We start from the raw sequence: 27,597 nt of genomic DNA, 5'->3' as shown, positions 1-27,597 counted from the left end.
ACTACATTTCAAGTCAGCATTAACCAATACGACACCAGAATAATATGAGATTAATATTCTGCTTTGATGATAGAAATAAAAATTCTATATTTGAAGAACCACATAAGGCAGTTGTTAAGAACAAGAAGAAGACCAATAGAAGAGTGGGCATGCAAATCAGCTATGACTTCAGAGAATTTAGTGCATAGCATCTGAGGGAGAGAGGGCCAACCCTAAAGCTTAGTGCAATTACAAGGGGAATTATGCAATTATGCTTGAATTAGATCTAATATATAATAAAAGTTGATGCCTAAACAGACTACTTTATACCTATGAATTTATTTAAAAATCACCCATGATCCAGACACTGCACTAGACAACAGAGACGAAATCGAGAAAAAAAGCTAGTCTCATTCCCTTATCCTCATGAAGCTTACAGTCTAGTGGGAGCAATACAAATTAGCCAGATAACACATGTATGTGTAAGTATGTGTCTCTACAGTAAGTACTAAGGAGTGGAGGTGCATAATGCTGAGAGAGCCTATCAAAGGTGGACAGAATTAAGTTGGAGAAAACTGCCCTTAGAAATTGACCCTTCAGCTGAGATCTGAGAAATATGTAGGAGTTAACTAGAAACATAACTGAAGTGAAAAAAGGCTACTCCTCCATTACATATGATAGTGTTGCTGTTTTTTAAAGAGGTAATTCATTGACTTAATGGCTGTTAATACTAGGATGAAAAGATGCTAAAGAAAGCAGTATGAATGGACAATGCCTTTTTCTTTTCATCTTTGCTCCCCAAGAAATCAAAGGGCCTGGCTCAAGCTTCTTGGCAGACTCTATTTCCACTTGTATTCTCTCCCCTTTTAGAATGTGGCTTTGCTCCTGTAGTTAATGAAGAGAGAGAGAGAGAGAGAGAAAAGAGCATTCCAAGAAGAGACAATAGCTTATGTGAAAACTCTATGGCTCAGGCAAGAAGCAATCCACACAGGGCTTTATAGGCCATATCAAAGAATTCTGTCTTAATCCTAAAAACATAGAAAGCCACTTAGGGTATCTTAAGCAGAGTGGAGGAGGGGTGGAGAGGGGGCTGACATCACCAGGTTAACATCTTGGAAGTATTGTTCTATCTACATTGTGAAAAACAGATGGAGGCAGTAAAACGATGAAAAGTTTGATTGTGCAAGTAACCTTTGCCCCAGAAATATTACTAAAATAAAGTTTCTCTGTCATATTACATGGAAGAATAATATAATAATCACTTTTCAGTTTATTCATTCAAACATTTATTGTGCACTGTGTTCTGCTTTGGGCACTGGGACAATATTCATGACAAAAATAGACAAAGATCTCTGCCCTTCTAGAGTTTACATAATAGACAAGGTATAAACATAAACAATACAGTTAGTTAAAAGCTAAGTGCTACATAAAAAGAAAAAACAAATCAGGATAAGGGGAAATTGAAGCGAGAAGAGAAGATGGCATGTCATTTTAAACAGGATAATCAAAATAGTCCTCTTGAGAAAGTATGTTTTAAGCAAAGACTTAAAAGAAGTGAAGGTGTTCGTCTTCCAGATGTCTGGGTGAGGAGCCTTCTGACCGAGGAGCAGCCAGTGCCAAGTGTCAAAGGTGGTAACATATCGCACATGTTCACGGAACAGCTGGGAAGCCAGTGTGCCTAGAGCACAGTAAACATGGGGGAGGAAACTAGAGATGAGACCACAGAAGTAACAGGGCTCACAGCATGTGAGGTCTTTAAGGCCATTATAAGGGCATGAGAGGTACCATAATCAAGGTGGGGAGTCATTGCGAAGTTGGGAGTGGAGAAGTGGCATGATCTGATTTCTTTTTCAAAAAGCTCACCCTGCTGCTGTGTTAAGAATGGCCAATAGTAAGGCAAGAGTGGCAGCAGGGAATTAGGAGGTTTCTGCAGTAATGCATGTGAGAATGACAATTCAGATCATCAGCACTTAAATGACAGCAGTGGCAGCTAGAAGACAATAGAGAAAAATTTTCAAAATTCTGAGAAAAAAATGATTTCAATACTAAAATGCTAACACTCAGCCAAACGATCGATTGTAGAGTATGAGAATAATGGCATTTTTCAACATGAGGAAGGCCCGAAAAATTACCTCCTGTGCACCATTTCAGAGGAAAATTCTGAAGAATGTGCTACACGGGAAAGAGGGTGTAAAACAAGAGGAAGATTAATGACAGTATAAATTCCAAATAAGACAAAATACCTATAATTTTGTTTGAGTAAAGTACACAACAGGGTCATGGATTGTTTTTCATTCATAATACTTTTCTAGCTCTACAAACCAACCTCAGAAAAATACGTCCATTTGAATTTGATTGTCAGTGCAACAAATTATTATGACAACCAGTCTGATTTGCAAATTTTATGAAGTAACCTATTATATTTCATAGGTCATAGCAACAAATTCTAATGTTTAGGTGTCCAAAATATTTCTTTGCACAGATAATACTTCTAAGAACACTTTTAAACAAAGAACATATTAGGTAAATATATCTTTAAACAAATCTTAAGCCTGGACAGGAGAATAAAATTGATACTTTTCTAAATATTTTCAAATCACTTTTCAGAAAGTTTTATGATGCAGAAGACTATCTGCTTTATGCAAGAAATGACAAAATATTTTCCCTCTTGATTTTTCTCAGATTTCTTTCTCCAGCTCTTAGGAAGGCCTGAAATGTTTAAGGCTGAGAATTGGAATTCCATTAGCACCGAGAAAAAAAATAGCAGACCCCTGAAGCCCAAAGCTTATACTATGAAAATTAAAGGGTGGAATGCGATTAAAAATGGACTATGGCACATGTAGTATTTTGAATCTACAGGATCCAGGAAAATAGGGAATGCATCTTAAAAATATTTAAAATCCCCAGGATGTTAGTGAAAAGAAATCTCCATAATGGCAGCATGCAGCATTTCTAGAAAATCACCAATCCAGCAAAAGGATGGTGGTCTCTAAGAAGGGCCATATAGATAACCTGATATTTTGAATATAGCAGGTAGAGATTAGCAGAGTGGAGGAATGTATTTATGATAGATAAGTAGAAAATTAAGGAACCAAAAAGGAGGTATTCATTGATTCCTGGAAAAACCAAAAGCTATAAAGAATAAAAAATGTAATTTTTATAACTACATGGCACAGCTATAAATACTGTTCATATAATCATAATATTACAAATAATATGAATTTAACAAAAATTGTGATATAACATCTTGAAAAAATGGGAGAAGTGATGTGGGGATAGCAGGCAGGGGTGTAAGAAATCTAAATCTTCATTATTCCTACCAAGATGTCAAAAGAACCTAAAACTATGTCTTGTCAACACCTGCTGACAAGAATGTCAATAGAACTTAAAACTGAAAAATATCCAGAAATAGCCATAGAAGCCTATTATTTAGAAATAAGCAGGTAAATGCAGAAAAATAAAACAGCTAAAAGAGTTGCCTGGGGAGAGCAGGAATCAGAAATGGGATGGGTGGGGTATGGCAGAGAACCAATGAACTTTTCATCACCATTTTCTCTACCATTGGAATCTGTCTGATCTCAGGGTGTAAGACAGTAGAAGCAAAATAAGGGCTGTACGGAGGCCACTATACATTTCGCCATTGTAACAAAAATAGTACTGGAAAGGAAATTAGTATAGTAGGACAGGCAGGTACTTAAAGGCCTTACTTCTATTCCTTTTCCATGAAGCTTCATGGAAACAGGCAAGTTGGAAGCAAGGCAGGGTAAGGAGCAGGCAATGCTACTTCCAGGTGTAGCCAACTATTTTGGGCTCCAAGGCATTCTTAGTCTTACTGGTGACCTACCTCTTTGACTCTACACAGTCCTTGGCTGAAACCTGAATCAACAGACTTTTTCATTCTCCTTGATGTTGACCTATGGAGTTCCTGATCTCAGCTAAATAATTCACCTCAGTTGTCCGGTGCTCTGATTTTCTGTGGTCTTCTCCTTGCCTTAGCAACTTGACTCTTATCTTTAATGTTCCTAACTTTGTCCTGGAAATTTGATCTGATTCTCTGCATTCTTGATTTTCTTCCAGTTTGCTGCATCTGCTACCTATATCGCAGGCCAGCCTGGTAACCTAACCTTGATCTTTGGTTGCCCCGTTTGATTGAGGGTTTGGTTTAGAGCTCATGATACTACTTCTGATTGATGCTGCCGTATGGTCAATCTTTTCTCCTGACGGTAGTGTCACTTTGCCAGTATTGGCGAGTTACTGCTTAAAAGTGGTAGTAGCCAAACTGTGTTTATGCAGCTAAACTATGAGACTGGACCAATTAGATCAGGCATTGGTGATTAAGGAATTAACATATGCTCTTGGCATAAGAAAATCACAGTTGAATACCCTTAGACCCAAACAGAGCCCCTCCTCGATTCCTGACACCCTTACTCCACAGTCAATAAAAAGATTTTCAGAGAAGAAAAGGAGTCCAAAGGAAGGGTTGGAAAGGTCATATAGAGACTTCAGCTCGCAGAGGAGTTTTCTGAGTTTGCCTTAGAGTTAGAAAGCATAACCCTCAGAACTCCCTCTGTGCCTGTAAACCTAACTTCATGTTGGAATTTTAGAAACAAAGAATATTCAGGCCTCTGGGTAGTTTCACAGCCTCTTTATATATCAGCACCATCACAAAGTGGATGAAATCGTTCTTGTCTGATCAAATTTCAGTAGATTAATATTGATATACTCATATTTTACTTTAAGGATCATTTGGCCGGGCGTGATGCACTTTGGGAGGCTGAGGCAGGTGGATCACGAGGTCAGGAGATCGAGACCGTCCTGGCTAACATGGTGAAACCCTGTCTCTACTAAAAATACAAAAAAAATAGCCGGGTGTGGTGGCGGGCGCCTGTAATCCCAGCTACTTGGGAGGCTGAAGCAGGAGAATGGCGTGAACCCAGGAGGCGGAGCTTGCAGTGAGCCGAGATTGCGCCATTGCACTCCAGCCTGGGCGACAGAGCCAGACTCCATCTCAAAAAAAAAAAAAAAAAAAAAAAGCATCCTTTGTTGGCTGTCTCTGCCCCATTTTGTTCAATAACCTTTAAGCAAATGAGTTAAGAAAGATCAAGAAAAGTAAAGAAGTGTGAAAAGAAGCATTTAATAATATACTGGATGCAGGGGAAGGAGACATGCATAATTGCCTGTTCCTCTTTAGACAGCCCTTCTCATTCCTTCTTGAGAAAACAGAGAAGTTACCAAAAAGGAGTAAACACAATAGTAAGTACTTATTAAATATCCAGTAGGTCTTTGTACATATTAATTCAATTCATTCTTATACCAACCCAATGAGATGGATGGTATTATCTCATTTGATGAGTGAGGAAAGTGAGATTCTGAGGGATTAAGCAATTTGTCCAAGGTCATCAGCTACTAGTTGAGAAGATGGGACACAAAACAAAGCCTATGCAATGGCAGAGAACATGGTCCTAACTTCAAAGACATGTAGCCTTCCCAGCAATACTGGAAATGGAAGGAGATGATAATTATTTTACACTGCTAGTGGACACAGGATTTAAATTGTATCATTCACATCAAAAAAAGAAATTATCTCCTCCCTTTATCCTTCAGCTGGGACCTCAAAATGCCTCCCAGGAAATAAAGTGAGAATTTCAATTCAATTCAACAAATATTTTCTTGAGTGCCTATTAATACCAGGCTCTGCACTAGGATTTGGGATATATAACAGTGAGTGGAGACAGGCATAATGCTTGGCTTCAAGAAAGCTGCAGACATTTTAAAAGTAAAAGTATGATAACTTATACACAGGAAATGGAAGCAAAATGCTGTGGAAGGCAAAAGCAAAAGCATCTTATGATCTAAAACTCAGGGGAGCCCTTACCTAGGAAATAAAATTTGAGGTAAAATTTAAATGGTAAGTATGAGTTAACAAGGTAAGGGCTTAATTCTGATGTCACAAGGTAACTCAATGAACTAATATTGAAGAGTGACAAGCTTCTCTCGAGAAACAGTACATATGACTGTTTTATCTTTGACAGAATAGCCAGAGAGAAAGGCAGCTACCCCAGCCATGAGAAAGAAGAAAAACAGCTGAAGTTTTAATAAACTTCTAAATGCTGCATGTAGAATGGCATGACAGTATCAGAATCCTGAGAGACTTGGATACAGAAGAGTCTGTAGCATTCATCAGCTCTTTCATGGTCCTTAAATGAGAGCTCATGAAAAAGATTGAAAGCAGGGCAAAACCACTGAGAGAGACACCTAGTAAATCACAGGTATATGGGGCATGCCTAAGCCTTAGGACAGAGCAAGGAGAACTGAGAGGAACTCCTCTGTGCTCTAGACCCTGCAGTGACTAAGACAGCAGCTGTCTGCCACTGGGGGAGGAAGAGGATTGCTAAGAGCGATTCCTTCTGAGGCTTATGAAAGCAAGGGTTGCTTAAGTCTGAGGGCAAAGACAGAAAACCCAATGGAATTCCCCTCCCTCTTCTTTATCCCGCATACATTCCACCAAGCACGACGTAACAGCAGCCTGATGCAGAGGAAAGTGAATGAGCACTGAGAGAGAGACAGAGGAATACCTTACTAATTATGAGTCCAGAGCAAGCAAACTGAGATATATGTCTGGCACTCCAGGCCTTACGGGAAGTACAATACAGCAACAATGCACCACTTGAAATACATGAAGCCAGTCTGTGGAGGCATGGACATAATTTAAGCCATCACAAAACCCAACCCAATTCAATCACAAACCAGTTTAATTTAATCATGTAACTAATGACTTCACAGAAGTATATTTTTCATAAAGTAAATATTATTTACCTCCTTACCTACTATACTTACTTAAAGTATCCTGCATTCAATCAATAATTATGAGATCCATTCAAAAAAATAAGAAAATATGACCCATCATGAAATGAGAAAATGGAATAAATTCAGAGATGGCCTAAATGTTAGAATTATCAGACAGGGACTTTAAAGTAATTATAATTTTCAAATGTTTTTAAATATAATGAAAAAATGGACAATCTACATGAAAAGATGGGGAATTTTAACAGAGATGAATATTGTATAAAAGTAAAATGAACAATCTAAAAATAAAAAACTCATGATATTGGATTATAGATAATGTGTTCAATAAGTTTATCAGTAAATTGGACACAGCAGAGGAAAGAGTCATTGAACAAACCCAGAAGGACGTACTGGTGAATTCTACCAAATATTTAAAGAAGAAATAACACTAAGATTTTATAAATATTTCAAAAATAGAGGAAATGCTTAACGGTCTGAGGAATACCGTTATAATAAGTAATAAAGAAATACTTAACAGCTATTTTTTATGAGGTTAGCATTCTCCTGATACTAAAGCCAGACAAAGAAAAAAAAAAGAAAACTGCAGATGAATATACTTTATGAATATAGATGCAAAAATCCTTAACAAAATGTTAGCAAATTAAATCCAGTAATACATAAAAAGCATACCAAACCGTAACTAATTGAATTTGGCACCAAAATACAAAGTTTACTTAACATTTGAAAGTTACTCAAAATAACTCACCACATTATATAATTAAAGAAGAAAAATCTTATAATCATTTCAATAGATATAGAAAACATATCCCACATATTTATGATAGAGACTTATAGCAAACAAATGCTAGAAGGAAACTCCTGCAAAATATTTGTAATGCATCTACAAAATATTTACAGTTAATAGTATATTTAATAGTGAGTGCTTTCTAAGAAAAAACAAAAATGTCCACTCCAATCATTTTCACTGAAATTTATACTAGAGATCCTAGCTTGTACAAAAGAGAAAAAATCATAGAAATTGGGAAAAAGTGATGTCATCTTTATTTGCAAATGACATGATTCTTTATGTAAAACCTCCTAAGGTATCTATAAGAAAACTACTAGACTTAATATATGATTTTAACAATGTATGCTATAAAATCAATATACAAAAATAAATAGCATTTCTTTTTTTTTTATTATACTTTAAGTTTTAGGGTACATGTGCACATTGTGCAGGTTAGTCACATATGTATATATGTGCCATGCTGGTGCGCTGCACACACTAACTCATCATCTAGCATTAGGTATACCTCCCAATGCTATCCCTCCCCCCTCCCCCCACCCCACAACAGTCCCCAGAGTGTGATATTCCCCTTCCTGTGTCCATGTGATCTCATTGTTCAATTCCCACCTATGAGTGAGAATATGCGGTGTTTGGTTTTTTATTCTTGTGATAGTTTACTGAGAATGATGATTTCCAATTTCATCCATGTCCCTACAAAGGACATGAACTCATCATTTTTATGGCTGCATAGTATTCCATGGTGTATATGTGCCACATTTTCTTAATCCAGTCTATCATTGTTGGACATTTGGGTTGGTTCCAAGTCTTTGCTATTGTGAATAATGCCGCAATAAACATACGTGTGCATGTGTCTTTATAGCAGCATGATTTATAGTCCTTTGGGTATATACCCAGTAATGGGATGGCTGGGTCAAATGGTATTTCTAGTTCTAGATCCCTGAGGAATCGCCACACTTCCACAATGGTTGAACTAGTTTATAGTCCCACCAACAGTGTAAAAGTGTTCCTATTTCTCCACATCCTCTCCAGCACCTGTTGTTTCCTGACTTTTTAATGATTGCCATTCTAACTGGTGTGAGATGGTATCTCATTGTGGTTTTGATTTGCATTTCTCTGATGGCCAGTGTTTGTAGCAATTAGAAAAAAAGAGTTAAAATACGATTTACAATAGCATGAAGAAACATAAATTCTTGGGGATAAATTTAACAATTTATTAAAAGATGTTGTAATACCTCTTAACTAAAAAGTATAAAACATTGCTGAAAGAAATTAAAGTAGACTTAAATAAATGAAGCAGTATTAAATAAAACAAAGCTATCAATCAATTCCCTCCTCCCTACCATATCGATTCAGATTCAACACAATCTCAATCAAAATCCCAGCTCCCAGCATGCTTTTAAATATACATTGACAAAGTGATGAGAACATATATATGAAAATCACAAAGGATCTAAAATAGCCAAAACAATCTTCAAAACAAAGAATAACATTGGAGAACTCATACTACCTTATTTGAAAACTTTTTTAAAGCTACAGTAATCAAAAGAGTGTGCCACTGGTGAAAGGATAGATAGAAAATAGAACAGAAGAGAGAGTCCTGAAATGGATCCACACATGTACGGTCAAGTTATTTTTACAAACGCACTGAAATAATTCAACTGGGAGTGAAAAATGTCTTCAACAAATGGAGCTAGAATAACTGGATAATCATATGAGCAAAAAACCTGGACTCCCCCGTTCCCTCAATGCACAAAAATTAATGAGATTCATCATAGAACTAAATAGAAAAGCTAAAACCATGAAGTTTCTAGAAAAAACAGCAGAAGAAAGTATCTTTATGACTTTTGTAGGCAAAGATTGCTTAGAGTGGACAAAGAAAGCATGAATTACAAAGAGAAGAAATAATAAATTGGGATTCATCAAATTTTTAAAACCTTCTGCTCATTGAAAAATTCCAGTAAGTAAATGAAAAGGCAAGCCATAGACTGAAGAAAATATTCATATATATCTGCAAGAGAATTACATATAAAATATATGAAAACACAACTCTATAACAAAACAAAAACAACAAAAAAAATGATTAAAAGACTTGAGCAAACGCTTAACTGAAGATATACAAGTGGTATATAGCACATAAGAAAGTCTTCAACATCATTAGTGATTAGAGAAATGCAAATTACAACAACAATAAGATTGTGGTTCTTATACAAGAATGGCAAAAATAAAAACAATTTACATCAAATATTAGAGAAGATTAGTAGCAACTAGAATCTAATACATTATTGTTGAGAATGCAAAATGATACAATTTCTTCAGAAAACTGGTGTTTCTTAAAAGGTTAAATATGTATCTACCATGTAACACATCAATTCAATTCATGGGTACTTAACTAAGAAAAATGAAAGCATATGTCCAAAAAACCCTTGTTTATAGAAATTCAGTTTCTAATAGGCACAAAATGAATATGGTATATTGAAAGGAATATTATTCAGCAATAAAAAGGGACAAAGTAATGATACATGCAACAACATGGATAATTCTCACATTTTTCTGTGTGAAAGAATCCCTCATACAAAAACTACATACTGTTTGATCCTACTTATAAGAAAGTCTAGGATAGACAAAATGAATTTATGGTGGTAGAAATCAGATCAGATTATAGGGAGGAAACTGATTGGGAAGGTGCACAAAGGAACTTTCTGAGGTGATGATGAAACTGTTCTGTCTTGATGCAGGTGTGACTTATACAACTGAAACAATTAATCAAAACTGGTTGAATGGTACACTTAAGATTGGAGCATATATCTGTATTATACCTCAAAAAATTAAAAGATCACCCCCAAATCTCCATACATTGGAAACTAAATAGCTTATTTCTAACCACATTATGGGTTCACCAGTAAGTCATTTTGAAAATTAGAACATTTTAGGATTAAGCAACAACAGAGTCACTTTTGAGACAAACCTAAAGCAATACAGCGTGCAATCCCTCATTTGTAATTCTGAATTACCGAAAGCTCTGAAAAACAATTTTTAGAAAATTTGACATGAAACCCTGACTCAATCTGATATGAGACAAACTATAGTCTTTATTAGCTTAATGTACGGATTGGTGCAAAAGTTATTGCGTTTTTGCCGTTACTTTGTAATTACTTTGTAATGGCAAAAACCGCAATAACTTTTGCACCAACCCAAGATATGACCAGAGTATTGGCACAGATACCATGGGAGATTTTTATAATATAGAGTTTATAAACCATATTGCCACTCTAAAATCTAAAATCAGTGAATTCTGAAACACATTTGACACCAAGGGTTTTGGATGATGGATTGTGATCCATGTAATGAATAATCTTAATTAAATACGTTGCTAAAAATGGTTGAAAAATAATGAACTAAACATTCTACATATAACAGCGGAAAATATAAAGATAAAAACAGAAATTAATATAATAAAAAACAAAGAAACAATAGAAAGAACCTAAAAATTAACAACTGATACTTTTAAAAGATTAATAAAACTGTCAAATTTCTGGAAATACTGATAAAGAAAAAACAGAAGTTGCAAATAGTATATCAAGAATAAAAAATGGGGCAAGACCACAGAGGCAATAGAGAATCTAAAATTTATATTTTGTGTCAATAATTTTGAAAACTTAGACAAAGGGACATATTAGAAAAATAAACACAAAAAATAAAGAAAAAACAGAAAACCTAAATATTCATTTTAACTGATCTTTTTTCTTGTCTTACCGGATAAATGAACAGATGTTTTGATAAGAGATATCCTGGTATTTTAAAAGGGAAAGCTTTTTAAGTGGTGCTGTTGGGATTCTCCAGAAAAACAGAATGAATAGATGTGTGTGTGTGTGTGTGTGTGTTTGTGTGTGTGTGTAAGTAAAAAGAGGTGATTTTAATGAATTGACTCACATGATTATGGAGACTGGCAAGTCCAAAATCTGGAAGGCAGGCCAGCAGGCTGGAGACCCAACGAAGAGCCAGTGCTACAGTTCAGTTCTGAAGGCTGTCGGCAGAACTCCCTCTTGGTCAGGTTGGTCTTTCATTCTATTCAGGCCTTTCACTGTTTGGACAAGGCTCACTCACATTACAGAGATAATCTGCTTTACTCAAGTCCACCAATTTAAATGTTAATCTCATCGAAAAACACTCTGACAGAAACCTCCAGAATAATGTTGGACCATCTATCTGGGCACCATGGCGCAGCCAAATTGACACATAAAATTAAGCATCACAGTTAACTGTGCAGGATTATGAAAGAGTGACATTATATAATGTATTTTATCAAGATGATTCTGGTTATTGATTGAAAATAGACTATATGGTGAGAATTGTAGACTCAGGGACACCAGAGAAGAGACTACTGCATTAATTCATATAAAAGAGAATGGAGGCTTGAACCATTTTTAGCATTTTTAGCAGTGGGGTAGTGAGAGTTCATTAGATTCCAGATATAGTTTGAAGGTAAAACTCGTGGGATTTCTTAACAGTGTGAATGTGGGATATTAAAAAAAAAGAAGAAGAAAGAAAAGAAAATAATCAAGAACAGTGTCAAGGCTCAGGGACCAAACCACTGGGAAAGCTGAATTTCCCTCAACTAACATAAAAAGCTGTTGGTAGAGCAGGTTTTGAGGAAACCTCAGGAGTTTAAGATGTCAGACATACAAATGGAGATGTTAAGTGAAATAAGCCAGGTACAGAAAGACAAATATCACATATTCTCACTTATCTGTGGGAGCTAAGAATTAAAATAATTGAACTCACAGAGATAGAGAGGAGAAGGATGGTTACCAGAGGCTGGGAAGGGTAGACAGAGTTGGGGTGGAAGGTTGCTGGGGAAGAGGCGATGGTTAATGGGTGCAAAAAATAGCCAGAAAGAATAAATAAGGCTGAGTATTTGCTAGCATAACAGGGTGACTATATTAAAAATTAATTTAATTGTTCAATTAAAAATAACTAAAAGAGTATAATTGGATTGTTGTAAACCAAAAGGATAAATGCTTAAGGTGATGGATACCCTATGTACCCTGATGTGATTATTACTCATTGCATACCTGCATCAAAATATCTCATGTAACTCATATATATGGTACATATGTGTGTGTGTGTGTGTGTGTGTATCTACTTTGTACTCACAAAAAATAAAAATTTGAAATTTTTTGAAAAAGAAGAGGAGATGTTGAGGAAGCAATTGGCTTCATAATTCTGGAGTTTAGAGGAAGCTTAGAGATATAAATTTAGGAGTTAGTAGCATACTAATGGAATTTAAATCCCCAAGACTGTTTGAAATTTAAAGAACTGAATTTAGATAGAGAAAAATAATCAAATAACCAAGGACCCTGATCACTCCAAAATTAAGAAGTCAAAATATCAATATTTTTCAGATTTGATAAATAATTTTAATAAAATTAAATTTTTATTGGAAATGCATTTTTTTTCTTTTAAGTTCAGGGGTACATGTGCATGTGTTTTATGGGTAAATTCATGTCACGGGAGTTTGTTGCACAGATGATTTCATCACTCAGACGTTAAGCCTAGTACCCATTCGTTATTTTTTCTGATCCTCTTCCTCCTCACACCCTCCATTCTGAGTTAGACCCCACTGTCTGTTGATGTCTTTTTGTGTCCTTGTGTTTTCATCATTTAGTTCTCTTATAAATGAGAACATGCAGTATTTGGTTTTCTGTTCCTGAGTTAGTTTGTTAAGAATAATGGCCAGCAGCTTCATCCATGTACTTGCAAAGAACAGGATCTCATTCTTTTTTATGGCTCCATGGTGTATGTGTACCACATTTTCTTTATACAGGCTATCATTAATGGGCATTTAGGTTGATTCCATGTTTTTGCTCTTGTGAATAGTGCTGCAATGAACATACACATACATGTGTCTTTATGTGTCTTTAAGAATGATTTATATTCCTTTGAGTATACACCTAGTAATGGGATTGCTGGGTTGAATGGCAGTGCTGTTTTTAGCTCTTTGAGGAATCTCAACACTGCTTTCCACAATGTTTGAACTAATTTACACTCTCACCAGCAGTGCATAAGCATTTCCTTTTCTCTGAAAACTAACCAGTATCTGTTATTTTTTGACTGTTTATTAATAGCCGTTCTGACTAATGTGAGATGGTATCTCATTGTGGTTTGATTTGGATTTATCTAATGATCAGTGATGTTGAGCTTTTCTTCATATCCTTGTTGGCCACATGTATGTCTTCTTTTGAAAAGTATCTATTTGTGTCCTTTGCCATGGGGTGTTTTTTTAATGGGTTTTTTTCCTGTAAATTTGTTTATTTGTTTAAGTTCTTTATAAATGCTGGATATTAGATCTCTGTTGGATGCATAGTTTGCAAAAATTTTCTCCCATTCTGTAGGTTTCTTGTTCACTCTATTGAGTTTCTTTTGCTGTGTAGGAACTCTTTAAATTCGATTCAACTTGTCAATTTTTGCTTTGGTTGCAATTGCTTTTGGTGTATTCATCATGAAATCTGTGCTCATTCCTATGTTCAGAATGGTATTGCCTAGGTTGTCTTCCAGGATTTTTAGTTTTGGGTTTTACATTTAATCCATCTTGAGTTGATTTTTGTCTGTGGTATAACACGTCCAGTTTCAATCTTCTGCATATGGCTAGCCAGTTATCCCAGCACCATTTACTCAGTAGGGAGTCTTTTCCTCATTGCTTGTTTTTGTCAGCTTTGTTGAAGATTAGATGGACATAGGTGTGTGTCCTCATTTTTGGGCTCTTATTCTATTCCATTGGTTTATGTGCCTGTTTTTGTACCAGTACCATACTGTTTTGGTTACTGTGGCCCTGCAGTGTAGTTTGAAGTCGAGTGGCATGATGCCTCCAGCTTTGTTCTTTTTGCTTGAATTGCCTTGGTTATTTGGGTTCTTTTTTTTTGCTTCCATATGAATTTTAAAATAATTTGTTCTAGTTCTGTGAAGAATGTTGTTGGTAGTTTGGCAGGAATAGCATTGAATCTATAAATTGCTTTGGGCAGTATGGCCATTTTGATGATATTGATTCTTCCTATTCATGAGCATAGGATGTTTTTCCATTTGTTTATGTCATCTGTGATTTCTTTGAGCAATGTTTTGTAGTTCTCATTGTACAGATCTTTCACCTCCTTGGTTAGCTCTATTCCTTGGTATTTTATTATATTTGTGGCAATTGTGAATGGGATTGTCTTCCTGGTTTGGCTTTTGACTTGACTGTTGTTGGTGTATAGGAATGCTAGTGATTTTTGTATATTGATTTTGTATCTGAAATCTTGCAGGAGTTGTTTGTCAGCTGAAGGGGCTTTTGGGCATAGACTATAGGGTTTTCTAGATATAGAAACATGTCATCTACAAACAGGGATAGTTTGACTCGCTTTCTTCCTATTTGGATGCGCTTTATTTGTTTCTTTTGCCTGATTGCTCTGGCTAGGACTTCCAGTCCCATGCTCAATAGTTGTGAGAGAGGGCATCCTTGTCTTGTGCCAGTTTTCAAGGGGAATGCTTCCAGCTTCTGCCCATTCAGTATAATGTTGCCTGTAGGTTTCTCATAGATAGCGCTTATTATTTTGGGGTATGTTCCTGGAAATGCATTTTTAATAAGATAGATGGGGCTTTATATTTTTGATTAGCAATGTATTTGTGGATAAATAACTTACTACTATAATGAGACAGGGTTCACCATAAATTCTATTATAATTTGTTTTAATATGTAGATAGTGATAAACATTTCTTATACTATGGGAAATGGAAATTTTATGACAGTATACCTAGACATGTACTTATATTTATTAATGTGCATGCCAAAGTTCTATATGATTGATCATCAAAAATTATTTGTAATGCTATATGAGCTAACAACTTGATTGTTTCCCTCAATTTTGTTGAAAACAAAGAAGTGAAATTTAATTTGCAAGTGCATTTATTATCCAAAAGCAATCCTTTCCTGAATATCACATTAATATTTAAAATTATCCCTTTGTTTGAAGCCATAAATATTTTTGCCCCCATTATGTTAGCATTAATTTTAAATGAAATTTAAAGGCAAATGCTTAATCTATCTCCAGATTAGTGTCATCATGTCTGCCTAATTTAGAACTTCCCTGTTCCAAACATCTTTCTTCACCTCTTACTATAAGTATTACAACTATGTCTGGAAGCAAAAAAAAAATTTTAACATTTATTTTAGGTTCAGGGGTACATGTGCAGGATATGCAAGTTTGCTACATAGGTAAACTTGTGTCATGGGGTTTTGTTGTACAGACTATTTCCTCACACATGTATTAAGCCTAGTACCCATTAGTTATTTTTCCTGATCCTCTCCCTCTTCCCACCCTCTGAAATGCCCTAGTGTGGGTTGTTCCCCTCTATGTGTCCATGTGTTCTCATAATTTAGCTCCCACTTACGAGTGAGAATGTGCAGTATTTGGTTTTCTGTTTCTGCATTAGTTTGCTGAGAATAATGGCCTCCATCTCCATCCATGTTCCTGCAAAGGACATGATCTCGTCCTTTTTTTATGGCTGCATAGTATTCCATGGTGTATATGTACCACATTTTCTTTACCCAGTATATCAACCTAAATGCACTTTTAGATATTGTAGGAAATATCTACTCAAGACCTTTGGATGACAGAGACTTTTGAGGTTGTTTCCATGGATGCTGCTCTGGTGTTTATGATAATCCTGGCACATAGCAGATGTTCATTAATACTTGCTGAGTGAGTCTATGAATACATAATACATAATTCAATATCCTTCTTCCATCAAGACCATACAATGAATACACACAGCCCAGGGTGACATGTAAGACTGAGCCTGAATAATTTTCAAGACCTGGATAGGCAGGGATGGGGAGAGAAGGGCATTTCAGGAGAAGGAACTACACATGCAAAGTCTCAGAGTCACAGAGGCTTGGTCCAGTGGATGTGGGAAGACATTGGATGATGCAGGGAGAAGAGGGATCAGGAGCAGAGTCTAGCAGGGGACCGACCCTGCAAGGCCTTCAGTCCAGTCTGTGGCATTTGCCCCTCATCCTCCAGTAATGGAGAGGAAACATGGCCATTCAGATTGTGGAGGAACTGGACAAGTAGGCATCTGGAAACACAGTCTGGAGGCCTGAGGGATTAGCCTGTGACAGTGTTTGCAGCCTCCACACCCACTGCTGCCCTCATCACCTTCCTCCTGTAAAAACTGACACTGAGGAAGGTGAAGCAGATGCAGAGAAGCAGGATCTTCACAGCCCCCTCCCTGACGGCCACCAGAACCACCGCCTCCATGGGCCCTGATTTCTTGGAGGAAATATGGGATGAGGCCAATTCAGTTGGTGCATTGTCATAGGAAATGCTGATAACAAGGTACCTAGAGGTATAAGCCACGAAGAGTTGGATGGTCCACCATGCACTCACACCCGTTCTGGAGAAGTCTATGCAGCAAGTGTGGTAGGTGTCATGGTCCTGGGGTCTAAGTATGAGGTTGAGCACTGAGAAATGGGAGGTTGTTGTTCCAGTTCCTTGGGAGGAGAAGGCCTCCCCCATTCAGGAGAAAGATGGGGGTGGACATTCCTCAAAAGCCCAGTTAAACACATAGATGACTGTCACTGGCTTCCCATGCTCTAGGGCCTTGGGGATGTAGACATCAGGCTTCTGAGTCAGGGCTGTCAGTTCCAGAAAGAATGTATTCATGAAATTGTATCTCACAAAGCTTCCTCTCTTCACCCGAAAGAAGTACACTGCCGTATCCTCCATCTGCACATCTCTGATCACCAAGGAGCAGTTCTGGTAGTGGGGATCCCCAATGAGCTGGAATCGGCCCTAGGTGCTTATCTGCACTACTTGTTTTGAGCTGTTTGTTGCCACTAGAGCACTCATGTTTATGTTGGTCCCTTCTTTGAACCAGTAGCCACAGGCTGAGGTAGACTCGTCCAGCTCCTCAGTAGGTAGGAGAAGGAGCACATCACAGAGACACACAGTCCCTCCTGTGTTATCACTGACTCTTGCACTTGCAGCCAGAATCTCCCATCCAGAGCCTGAGACCTGCCCAGCAGCAAAGACAGCAGCAACAGCATAGGAGGCACAGCGACATGCCTGAGACAGGCCTATTCCCTGGCTGTGCTGTGAGTGACTCAGGAATCTGGAGGCAGAAGTGGAAGCTGAAGGCAGGAGCTGAGCCCTGGGGCCTTGCCCATTTGTCCTCTCGGCTCTCCTGGGACCCAGCCTGATCTTGGGCTTGTTGAGCTCGTCCTTCCAGAGCCCCCTCTGGCACTGGAAGCAAAAATGTATCCAATAAGAAAACTTGAGGATAAATGTCTATGCAGTAAATCTGATTTTTCTCAATGAATGGACCTGGCTCTCATGAATGTTTATGGGTACTTGTATCTTGTATTTCAATGTACTCTACATTGAGATACACCAGTTAGAACTGATCATAAAAGTTGTGGGCTTTGATAGCAGTATGTAGAAGCGCACATCAAAATATAACCTATCAAGTAAATTATACTTGTGCTAGTCTGGCACTGATTGATTTTTGTGATGTGAAAGACCATGTGTCTAAGAGCTCATTACATGCAATTCAAACCTTCAGCACCATGGTCAGCATCTACTTTGTCCCTAAGTTTCAGAACAGGCCAGTCATGAATATCATGTTTCACTGGATTTTGGAGATTAAGGAGCCTTTAAGTCAACCAATCCACCACCCATTGAATTCCTGCATTTTTCTCTACTGCCATCCAGACTCTGCCTTCGGTGGTCAGCATCATCTTATGGTTACAGTAACATGTATAGTTCATTTGATTAATGCCATTTACATGAATGAAACACTGAGGCTAAAGCAGCCCTATAGCTCAGAAAGAAATGTTTATTATAAATAAATTGTTTATTCCAGATAAAATGTTTATTCCAGATATAGAACTTTATTTTAGCATCCAGTATATGTTCATTTGGTTTACTGACTTTATTTACTACAACAACCCTTCATTGAGTGTAACGCAAACTTTTTCTAGGAACTGAAATGAGGTGAGAATCAAACATAAGGAAGACAAAATCCTTTATCTCAAAGAATTCATACTTAAGTAGGAGATAGAGACAAGAATATGACAACTTATAATATCACAATAAAGTCTACAATCTAGACAAATGTGCTGGGACAGCACAGAAGAAGCAATTAATTATCTTTTGAGTGGCAATTACTGGGAGAGGTGACACTGAAAAATAAGTCAACATTTTGAAGGGAGATGAGCAACAGAAGAAAACCAGAGAGAGTAAACTATATGGACCAAGTCACAGAATAGCGAAAATACATAGTGTTTTGAATTTTGTCATATGGGATTGTCAAAGAACTCACAGTGAATACATCTGTGGAGTTCCCAAGATGCTTAGTAGTAGCAGCAAAAATTAATAGAAGGTAGTGGCATACTTAAAGTGATTTAACAAGAACTGGAAAGTCCTATGCCCTTCAAAATATATCTTTTCTACTCAGGTGTTTTTGTGTCTAAAATTACAAATTCATTCCTTTAATATAGCCCTAATAACATCTTAGTGTTAATGACTGAACCAGACATATTCTTAACCATGAGAGAAGACTGCTATAAAAGCATGAGAATCATGGAATAGGTACTGCAAGTTAGGAAAGGAGATTGCTGCAAAAGAGTACAAGAGACACACTTCATATTTCTGCCTAGTTGCAAACCCTAAATATACATTTGGCATATAAAATACATTAAGCATCAAAATCCAGTAGTCAATAAACATTTATTGGGTACACACTGTGTCAGAAATTCTCCAATAAAATAAATGAATGAAACACATATTCTTTCCTTGAAGAGCTACACTCAACTGGGAAAAATAGATGGTAAAAATATAATTTCAATATAGTGTGGCGTGTGCTCTGATAAAGATTTTAAAAAGAATTCTGTAGGCTGGCAGCCAAGATGGCCGAATAGGAACAGCTCCGGTCTATAGCTCCCAGTGTGAGCGATGCAGAAGACGGGTGATTTCTGCATTTCCATCTGAGGTACCGGGTTCATCTCACTAGGGAGTGCCAGACAGTGGGCACAGGACAGTGGGTGCAGCACACCGTGCACGAGCGGAAGCAGGGTGAGGCATTGCCTCACTCAGGAAGCACAAGGAGTCAGGGAGTTCCCTTTGCTAGTCAAAGAAAGGGGTGACAGATGGCACCTGGAAAATCGGGTCACTCCCACCCTAATACTGCACTTTTCCGACAGGCTTAAAAAACAGTGCACCAGGAGATTATATCCCGCACCTGGCTCAGAGGATCCTACGCCCACATAGTCTCGCTGATTGCTAGCACAGCAGTCTGAGATCAAACTGCAAGGCGGCAGCAAGGCTGGGGGAGGGGCACCCACCATTGCCCAGGTTTGCTTAGGTAAACAAAGCAGCCAGGAAGCTCGAACTGGGTGGAGCCCACCACAGCTCCAGGAGGCCTGCCTGCCTCTGTAGGCTCCACCTCTGGCGGCAGGGCATAGACAAACAAAAAGACAGCAGTAACCTCTGCAGACTTAAATGTCCCTGTCTGACAGCTTTGAAGAGAGCAGTGGTTCTCCCAGCACACAGCTAGAGATCTGAAAACGGGCAGACTGCCTCCTCAAGTGGGTCCCTGACCCCTGACCCCCGAGCAGCCTAACTGGGAGGCACCCCCCAGTAGGGGCAGACTGACACCTCACACGGCCGGGTACTCCTCTGAGACAAAACTTCCAGAGGAACGATCAGGCAGCAACATTTGCTGTTCACCAATATTTGCTGTTCTGCAGCCACTGTTGCTGATACCCAGGCAAACAGGGTCTGGAGTGGACCTCCGGCAAACTCCAACAGACCTGCAGCTGAGGGTCCTGACGGTTAGAAGGAAAACTAACAAACAGAAAGGACATCCACGCCAAAACCCCATCTGTACGTCACCATCATCAAAGACCAAAGATAGATAAAACCGCAAAGATGGGGAAAAAACAGAACAGAAAAACTGGAAACTCTAAAAATCAGAGTGCCTCTCCTCCTCCAAAGGAACGCAGATCCTCACCAGCAACGGAACAAAGCTGGACGGAGAATGACTTTGACGAGTTGAGAGAAGAAGGCTTCAGATGATCAAACTACACAGAGCTACAGGAGGAAATTCAAACCAAAGGCAAAGAAGTTTAAAACTTCGAAAAAAAATTAGACGAATGTAAAACTAGAATAACGGACTGTTGTGGGGTGGGGGGAGGGGGGAGGGATAGCATTGGGAGATATACCTAATGCTAGATGACGAGTTAGTGGGTGCAGCGCGCCAGCATGGCACATGTATACATTTGTAACTAACCTGCACAATGTGCACATGTACCCTAAAACTTAAAGTATAATAAAAAAAAAAAGAAAAAGCAGCTGACGGAGCTGAAAGCCAAGGCTTGAGAACTACGTGAAGAATGCAGAAGCCTCAGGAGCTGATGCAATCAACTGGAAGAAAGGGTATCAGTGATGGAAGATCAAATGAATGAAATGAAGTGAGAAGGGAAGTTTAGAAAAAAAGATAAAAAGAAACGAACAAAGCCTCCAAGAAATATGGGACTATGTGAAAAGACCAACTCTAAATCTGATTGGTGTACCTGAAAGTGACGGGGAGAATGGAACCAAGTTGGAAAACACTCTGCAGGATATTATCCAGGAGAACTTCCCCAACCTAGAAAGGCAGGCCAACATTCAGATTCAGGAAATACAGAGAACGCCACAAAGATACTCCTTGAGAAGAGCAACTCCAAGACACATAATTGTCAGATTCACCAAAGTTGAAATGAAGGAAAAAATGTTAAGGGCAGCCAGAAGGAAAGGTCGGGTTACCCACAAAGGGAAGCCCATCAAACTAACAGCGGATCTCTCGGCAGAAACTCTACAAGCCAGAAGAGAGTGGGGGCCAATATTCAACTTTCTTAAAGAAAAGAATTTTCAACCCAGAATTTCATATCCAGCCAAACTAAGCTTCACAAGTGAAGGAGAAATAAAATCCTTTACAGACAAGCAAATGCTGAGAGATTTTGTCACCACCAGGCCTGCCCTAAAAGAGCTCCTGAGGGAAGCACTAAACATGGAAAGGAACAACCAGTACCAGCCACTGCAAAATCATGCCAAATTGTAAAGACCATCGAGACTAGGAAGAAACTGCATCAACTAACAAGCAAAATAACCACCTAACATCATCAGGACAGGATCAAATTCACACATAACAATATTAACTTTAAATGTAAATGGACTAAATGCTCCAATTAAAAGACATAGACTGGCAAATTGGATAAAGAGTCAAGACCCATCAGTGTGCTGTATTCAGGAAACCCATCGCACGTGCAGAGACTCACATAGGCTCAAAATAAAAGGATGGAGGAAGATCTACCAAGCAAATGGAAAACAAAAAAAGGCAGGGGTTGCAATCCTAGTCTCTGACAAAACAGACTTTAAACCAACAAAGATCAAAAGAGACAAAGAAGGCCATTACATAATGGTAAAAGGATCAATTCAACAAGAAGAGCTAACTATCCTAAATATATATGCACCCAATACAGGAGCACCCAGATTCATAAAGCAAGTCCTGAGTGACCTACAAAGAGACTTAGACTCCCACACAATAATAATGGGAGACTTTAACACCCCACTGTCAACATTAGACAGATAAACAAGACAGAACGTTAACAAGGATACCCAGGAATTGAACTCAGCTCTGCACCAAGCAAACCTAATAGACATCTACAGAACTCTCCACCCCAAATCAACAGAATATACATTTTTTCCAGCACCACATCACACCTATTCCAAAATTGACCACATAGTTGGAAGTAAAGCTCTCCTCAGCAAACGTAAAAGAACAGAAATTATAACCAACTGTCTCTCAGACCACAGTGCAATCAAACTAGAACTCAGGATTAAGAAACTAACTCAAAACTGCTCAACTACATGGAAACTGAACAACCTGCTCCTGAATGACTACTGGATACATAATGAAATGAAGGCAGAAATAAAGATGTTCTTTGAAACCAATGAGAACAAAGACACAACATACCAGAATCTCCGGGACGCATTCAAAGCAGTGTGTAGAGGGAAATTTATAGCGCTAAATGCCCACAAGAGAAAGCAGTAAAGATCCAAAATTGACATCCTAACATCACAATTAAAAGAACTAGAAAAGCAAGAGCAAACACATTCAAAAGCTAGCAGAAGGCAAGAAATAACTAAAATCAGAGCAGAACTGAAGGAAATAGAGACAAAAAACCCTTCAAAAAATTAATGAATCCAGGAGCTGGTTTTTTGAAAGGATCAACAAAATTGATAGACCGCTAGCAAGACTAATAAAGAAGAAAACAGAGAAGAATCAAACAGACGCAATAAAAAATGATAAAGGGGATATCACCACCGATCCCACAGAAATACAAACTGCCATCAGAGAATACTACAAACACCTCTACGCAAATAAACTAGAAAATCTAGAAGAAATGGATAAATTCCTCGACACATACACCCTCCCAAGACTAAACCAGGAAGAAGTTGAATCTCTGAATAGACCAATAACAGGCTCTGAAATTGTGGCAATAATCAATAGCTTACCAACCAAAAAGAGTCCAGGACAAGATGGATTCACAGCCGAATTCTACCAGAGGTACAAGGAGGAACTGGTACCATTCCTTCTGAAACTATTCCAATCAATAGAAAAAGAGGGAATCCTCCCTAACTCATTTTATGAGGCCAGCATCATCCTGATACCAAAGCCTGGCAGAGACATAACCAAAAAACAGAATGTTAGACCAATATCCCTGATGAACATTGATGCAAAAATCCTCAATAAAATACTGGCAAACTGAATCCAGCAGCTCATCAAACAGCCTATCCACCATGATCAAGTGGGCTTCATCCCTGGGATGCAAGGCTGGTTCAATATACGCAAATCAATAAATGTAGTCCAGCATATAAACAGAAGCAAAGACAAAAACCACATGACCATCTCAATAGATGCAGAAAAGGCCTTTGACAAAATTCAACAGCGCTTCATACTAAAAACTCTCAATAAATTAGGTATTGATGGGACATATCTCAAAACAATAAGAGCTATCTATGACAAACCCACAGCCAATATCATACTGAATGGGCCAAAACTGGAAACATTCCCTTTGAAAACTGGCACAAGACAGGGATGCCCTCTCTCACCACTCCTATTCAACATAGTGTTGGAAGTTCTGGCCAGGGCAATTAGGCAGGGGAAGGAAATAAAGGGTATTCAATTAGGAAAAGAAGAAGTCAAATTGTCCCTGTTTGCAGATGACATGATTGTATGTCTAGAAAACCCCATTGTCTCAGCCCAAAATCTCCTTAAGCTGATAAGCAACTTCAGCAAAGTCTCAGGATACAAAATCAATGTACAAAAATCACAAGCATTCTTATACACCAATAACAGACAAACAGGGAGCCAAATGATGAGTGAACTCCCATTCACAATTGCTTCAAAGAGAATAAAATACCTAGGAATCCAACTTACAAGGGACGTGAAGGACCTCTTCAAGGAGAAGCACAAACCACTGCTCAGTGAAATAAAAGAGGATACAAACAAATGGAAGAACATTCCATGCTCATGGGTAGGAAGAATGAATATTGAGAAAATGGCCATACTGCCCAAGGTAATTTATAGATTCAATGCCATCGCCATCAAGCTACCAATGACTTTCTTCACAGAATTGGAAAAAACTACTTTAAAGTTCATATGGAACCAAAAAAGAGCCCGCATTGCCAAGTCAATCCTAAGCCAAAAGAACAAAGCTGGAGGCATCACGCTACCTGACTTCAAACTATACTACAAGGCTACAGTAACAAAAACAGCATGGTACTGGTACCAAAACAGAGATATAGATCAATGGAACAGAACAGAGCCCTCAGAAATAACGCCGCATATCTACAACCATCTGATCTTTGACAAACCTGAGAAAAACAAGCAATGGGGAAAGGATTCCCTATTTAATAAATGGTGCTGGGAAAACTGGCTAGCCATATGTAGAAAGCTGAAACTGGATCCCTTCCTTACACCTTATACAAAAATTAATTCAAGATGGATTAAAGACTTAAATGTTAGACCTAAAACCATAAAAACCCTAGAAGAAAACCTAGGCATTACCATTCAGGACATAGGCATGGGCAAGGACTTCATGTCTAAAACACCAAAAGCAATGGCAACAAAAGCTAAAATTGACAAATGGGATCTAATTAAACTGAAGAGCTTCTGCACAGCAAAAGAAACTACCATCAGAGTGAACAGGCAACCTACAGAATGGGAGAAAATTTTCGCAACCTACTCATCTGACAAAGGGCTAATATCCAGAATCTACAACGAACTCAAACAAATTTACAAGAAAAAAACAAACAATCCCATCAAAAAGTGGGCGAAGGACATGAACAGACACTTCTCAAAAGAAGACATTTATGCAGCCAAAAAACACATGAAAAAATGCTCACCATCACTGGCCATCAGAGAAATGCAAATCAAAACCACAATGAGATACCATCTCACACCAGTTAGAATGGCAATCATTAAAAAGTCAGGAAACAACAGGTGCTGGAGAGGATGTGGAGAAGTAGGAACACTTTTACACTGTTGGTGGAACTGTAAACTAGTTCAACCATTGTGGAAGTCAGTCTGGTGATTCCTCAGGGATCTAGAACTAGAAATACCATTTGACCCAGCCATCCCATTACTGGGTATATACCCAAAGGACTATAAATCATGCCGCTATAAAGACACATGCACACGTATGTTTATTGCGGCACTATTCACAATAGCAAAGACTTGGAACCAACCCAAATGTCCAACAATGATAACTGGGTTAAGAAAATGTGGCACATATACACCATGGAATACTATGCAGCCATAAAAAATGATGAGTTCATGTCCTTTGTAGGGACATGGATGAAATTGGAAATCATCATTCTCAGTAAACTATCACAAGAACAAAAAACCAAACACCGCATATTCTCAATCATAGGTGGGAACTGAACAATGAGAACACGTGGACACAGGAAGGGGAACATCACACTCTGGGGACAGTTGTGGGGTGGGGGGAGGGGAGAGGGATAGCATTAGGAGATATACCTAACGCTAAATGACGAGTTAATGGGTGTAGCACACCAGCATGGCACATGCATACCTATGTAACTAACCTGCACATTGTGCACATGTACCCTAAAACTTAAAGTATTATAATAATAATAAAATTAAAAAAAAGAATTCTGTGGATACTTCAACTGTCAGGAGGCTTGAGGAATGCTTCATGGAGGAGAAAATAGTAAAGCTAATTTTTAGGGTGGTTTTTAAAGGAGAATAAAGAGGAAAGTATAGTCTAGGCAAAGAAAACAGCATAAGCAAATGCACAAAGTTGTAAAATAGCATCTTTCATATGGAGAACAATGTGCGGGAACATACACATAAAAATATTTCTAGATACATGGTTTAAATGTGGGGCATCATGAAACATGAAGAAATTCAGGATACTGTTTTCTTGCCAATAATAATTGCTTTGGTACAGTGATCTAGAAATTTTAGCTTGAAAATTTGTTGGGAAACATTTCTAAATCAAACTTAACACCACATTTATTGATTTAATTATTTCAATAAGTATTTATTAAGCTAGCTACTAGAAAAAAAATCCAGAGAAAGCAGCAATTGGAAATATCAAGTTACAAAACTATTTTAGATTTCAAGAATGGCAAGATGTCAGTATCTGTATAGAAAAATATATGTTATTCCACTAACAGGCAAAAAAAACCACATAGCATCATAATGAGAGGATCAAATTCACATATAACAATATTAACCTTAAATGTAAATGGGCTAAATGCCCCAATTAAAAGACACAGACTGGCAAATTGTATAAAGAGTCAAGACCCATCAGTGTGCTATATTCAGGAGACCCATTTCACATGCAAAGACACACATAGGCTCAAAATAAAGGGATGGAGGAATATTTACCAAGCAAATGGAAAGCAAAAAAAGGCAGGAGTTGCTATCCTAATCTCTGTTAAAACAGACTTAGATAAAACCAACAAAGATCAAAAGAGACAAAGTACGGCATTACATAATGGTAAAGGGATCAATGCAGCAAGAAGAGCTAACTCTCCTAAATATATATGCACCCAATAAAGAAGCACCCAGATTCATAAAGCAAGTTCTTAGAGACCTACAAAGAGACTTAGACTACCACACAATAATAGGAGATTTTAACACCCCACTGTCAATATTAGACAGATCAACAAGAGAGAAAATTAACAAGGATATCCAGGAATTGAACTCAGCTCTGGACCAAGCAGACCTAATAGACATCTACAGAACTCTCCACCCCAAATCAACAGAATATACATTTTTCTAAGTGCCACATGGCACTTATTCTAAAATTGACCACATAATTGGAAGTAAAACACTCCTCAGCAAATGTAAAAGAATGGAAATCATAACAGTCTGTCAGACCACAGTGCAATCAAACTAGAACTCAGGAATAAGAAATTCACTCAAAACCGCACAACCACATGGAAACTGAACAACTTGCTCCTAAATGACTGCAGGGTAAATAATGAAATGAAGGCAGAAATAAAGATGTTCTTTGAAACCAATGAGAACAAGGACACAAAGAACCAGAATCTCTGGGACACATTTAAAGCAGTGTGTAGAGGGAAATTTATAGCATTAAATGCCCACAAGAGAAAGCAGGAAAGATCTAAAATTGACACCTAATATCAAAATTAAAAGAACAAGAGAAGCAACAGCAGACAAATTCAAAATCTAGCAGAAGACAATAACTAAGATCAGAGCAGAACTGAAGGCAAGACATGAAAAATCCTCTAGAAAATTAATGAATCCAGGAGCTAGTTTTTAGAAAAGATCAACAAAATAGACCACTAGCAAGACTAATAAAGAAGAAAAGAGAGAAGAATCAAATAGATGCAATAAAAAATGATATAGGGGATATCACCCCTGATCCCACAGAAATACAAACTACCATCAGAGAA

At 37.9% G+C, this 27,597-nt stretch overlaps 1 pseudogene, besides 1 other annotated feature; it reads right to left on the bottom strand.

The window, feature by feature from the left end:
* Nucleotides 6,191-6,260: a silencer, noted in NCBI's record as "silent region_1549". NCBI's record gives its function as "represses an Ori minimal core promoter by ATAC-STARR-seq in GM12878 lymphoblastoid cells {active_cell/tissue: GM12878}" and the evidence as "EXISTENCE:reporter gene assay evidence [ECO:0000049][PMID:35858748]".
* SIGLEC30P (sialic acid binding Ig like lectin 30, pseudogene) lies at nt 16,894-17,705 on the bottom strand (annotated as a pseudogene).

This window comes from Homo sapiens, chromosome 1 (assembly GCF_000001405.40).
Source record: "Homo sapiens chromosome 1, GRCh38.p14 Primary Assembly".
Taxonomy (NCBI): domain Eukaryota; kingdom Metazoa; phylum Chordata; class Mammalia; order Primates; family Hominidae; genus Homo; species Homo sapiens.
Note: the sequence above shows the minus strand (reverse complement) of the source record. Positions and strands in the feature narration are given on the sequence as shown.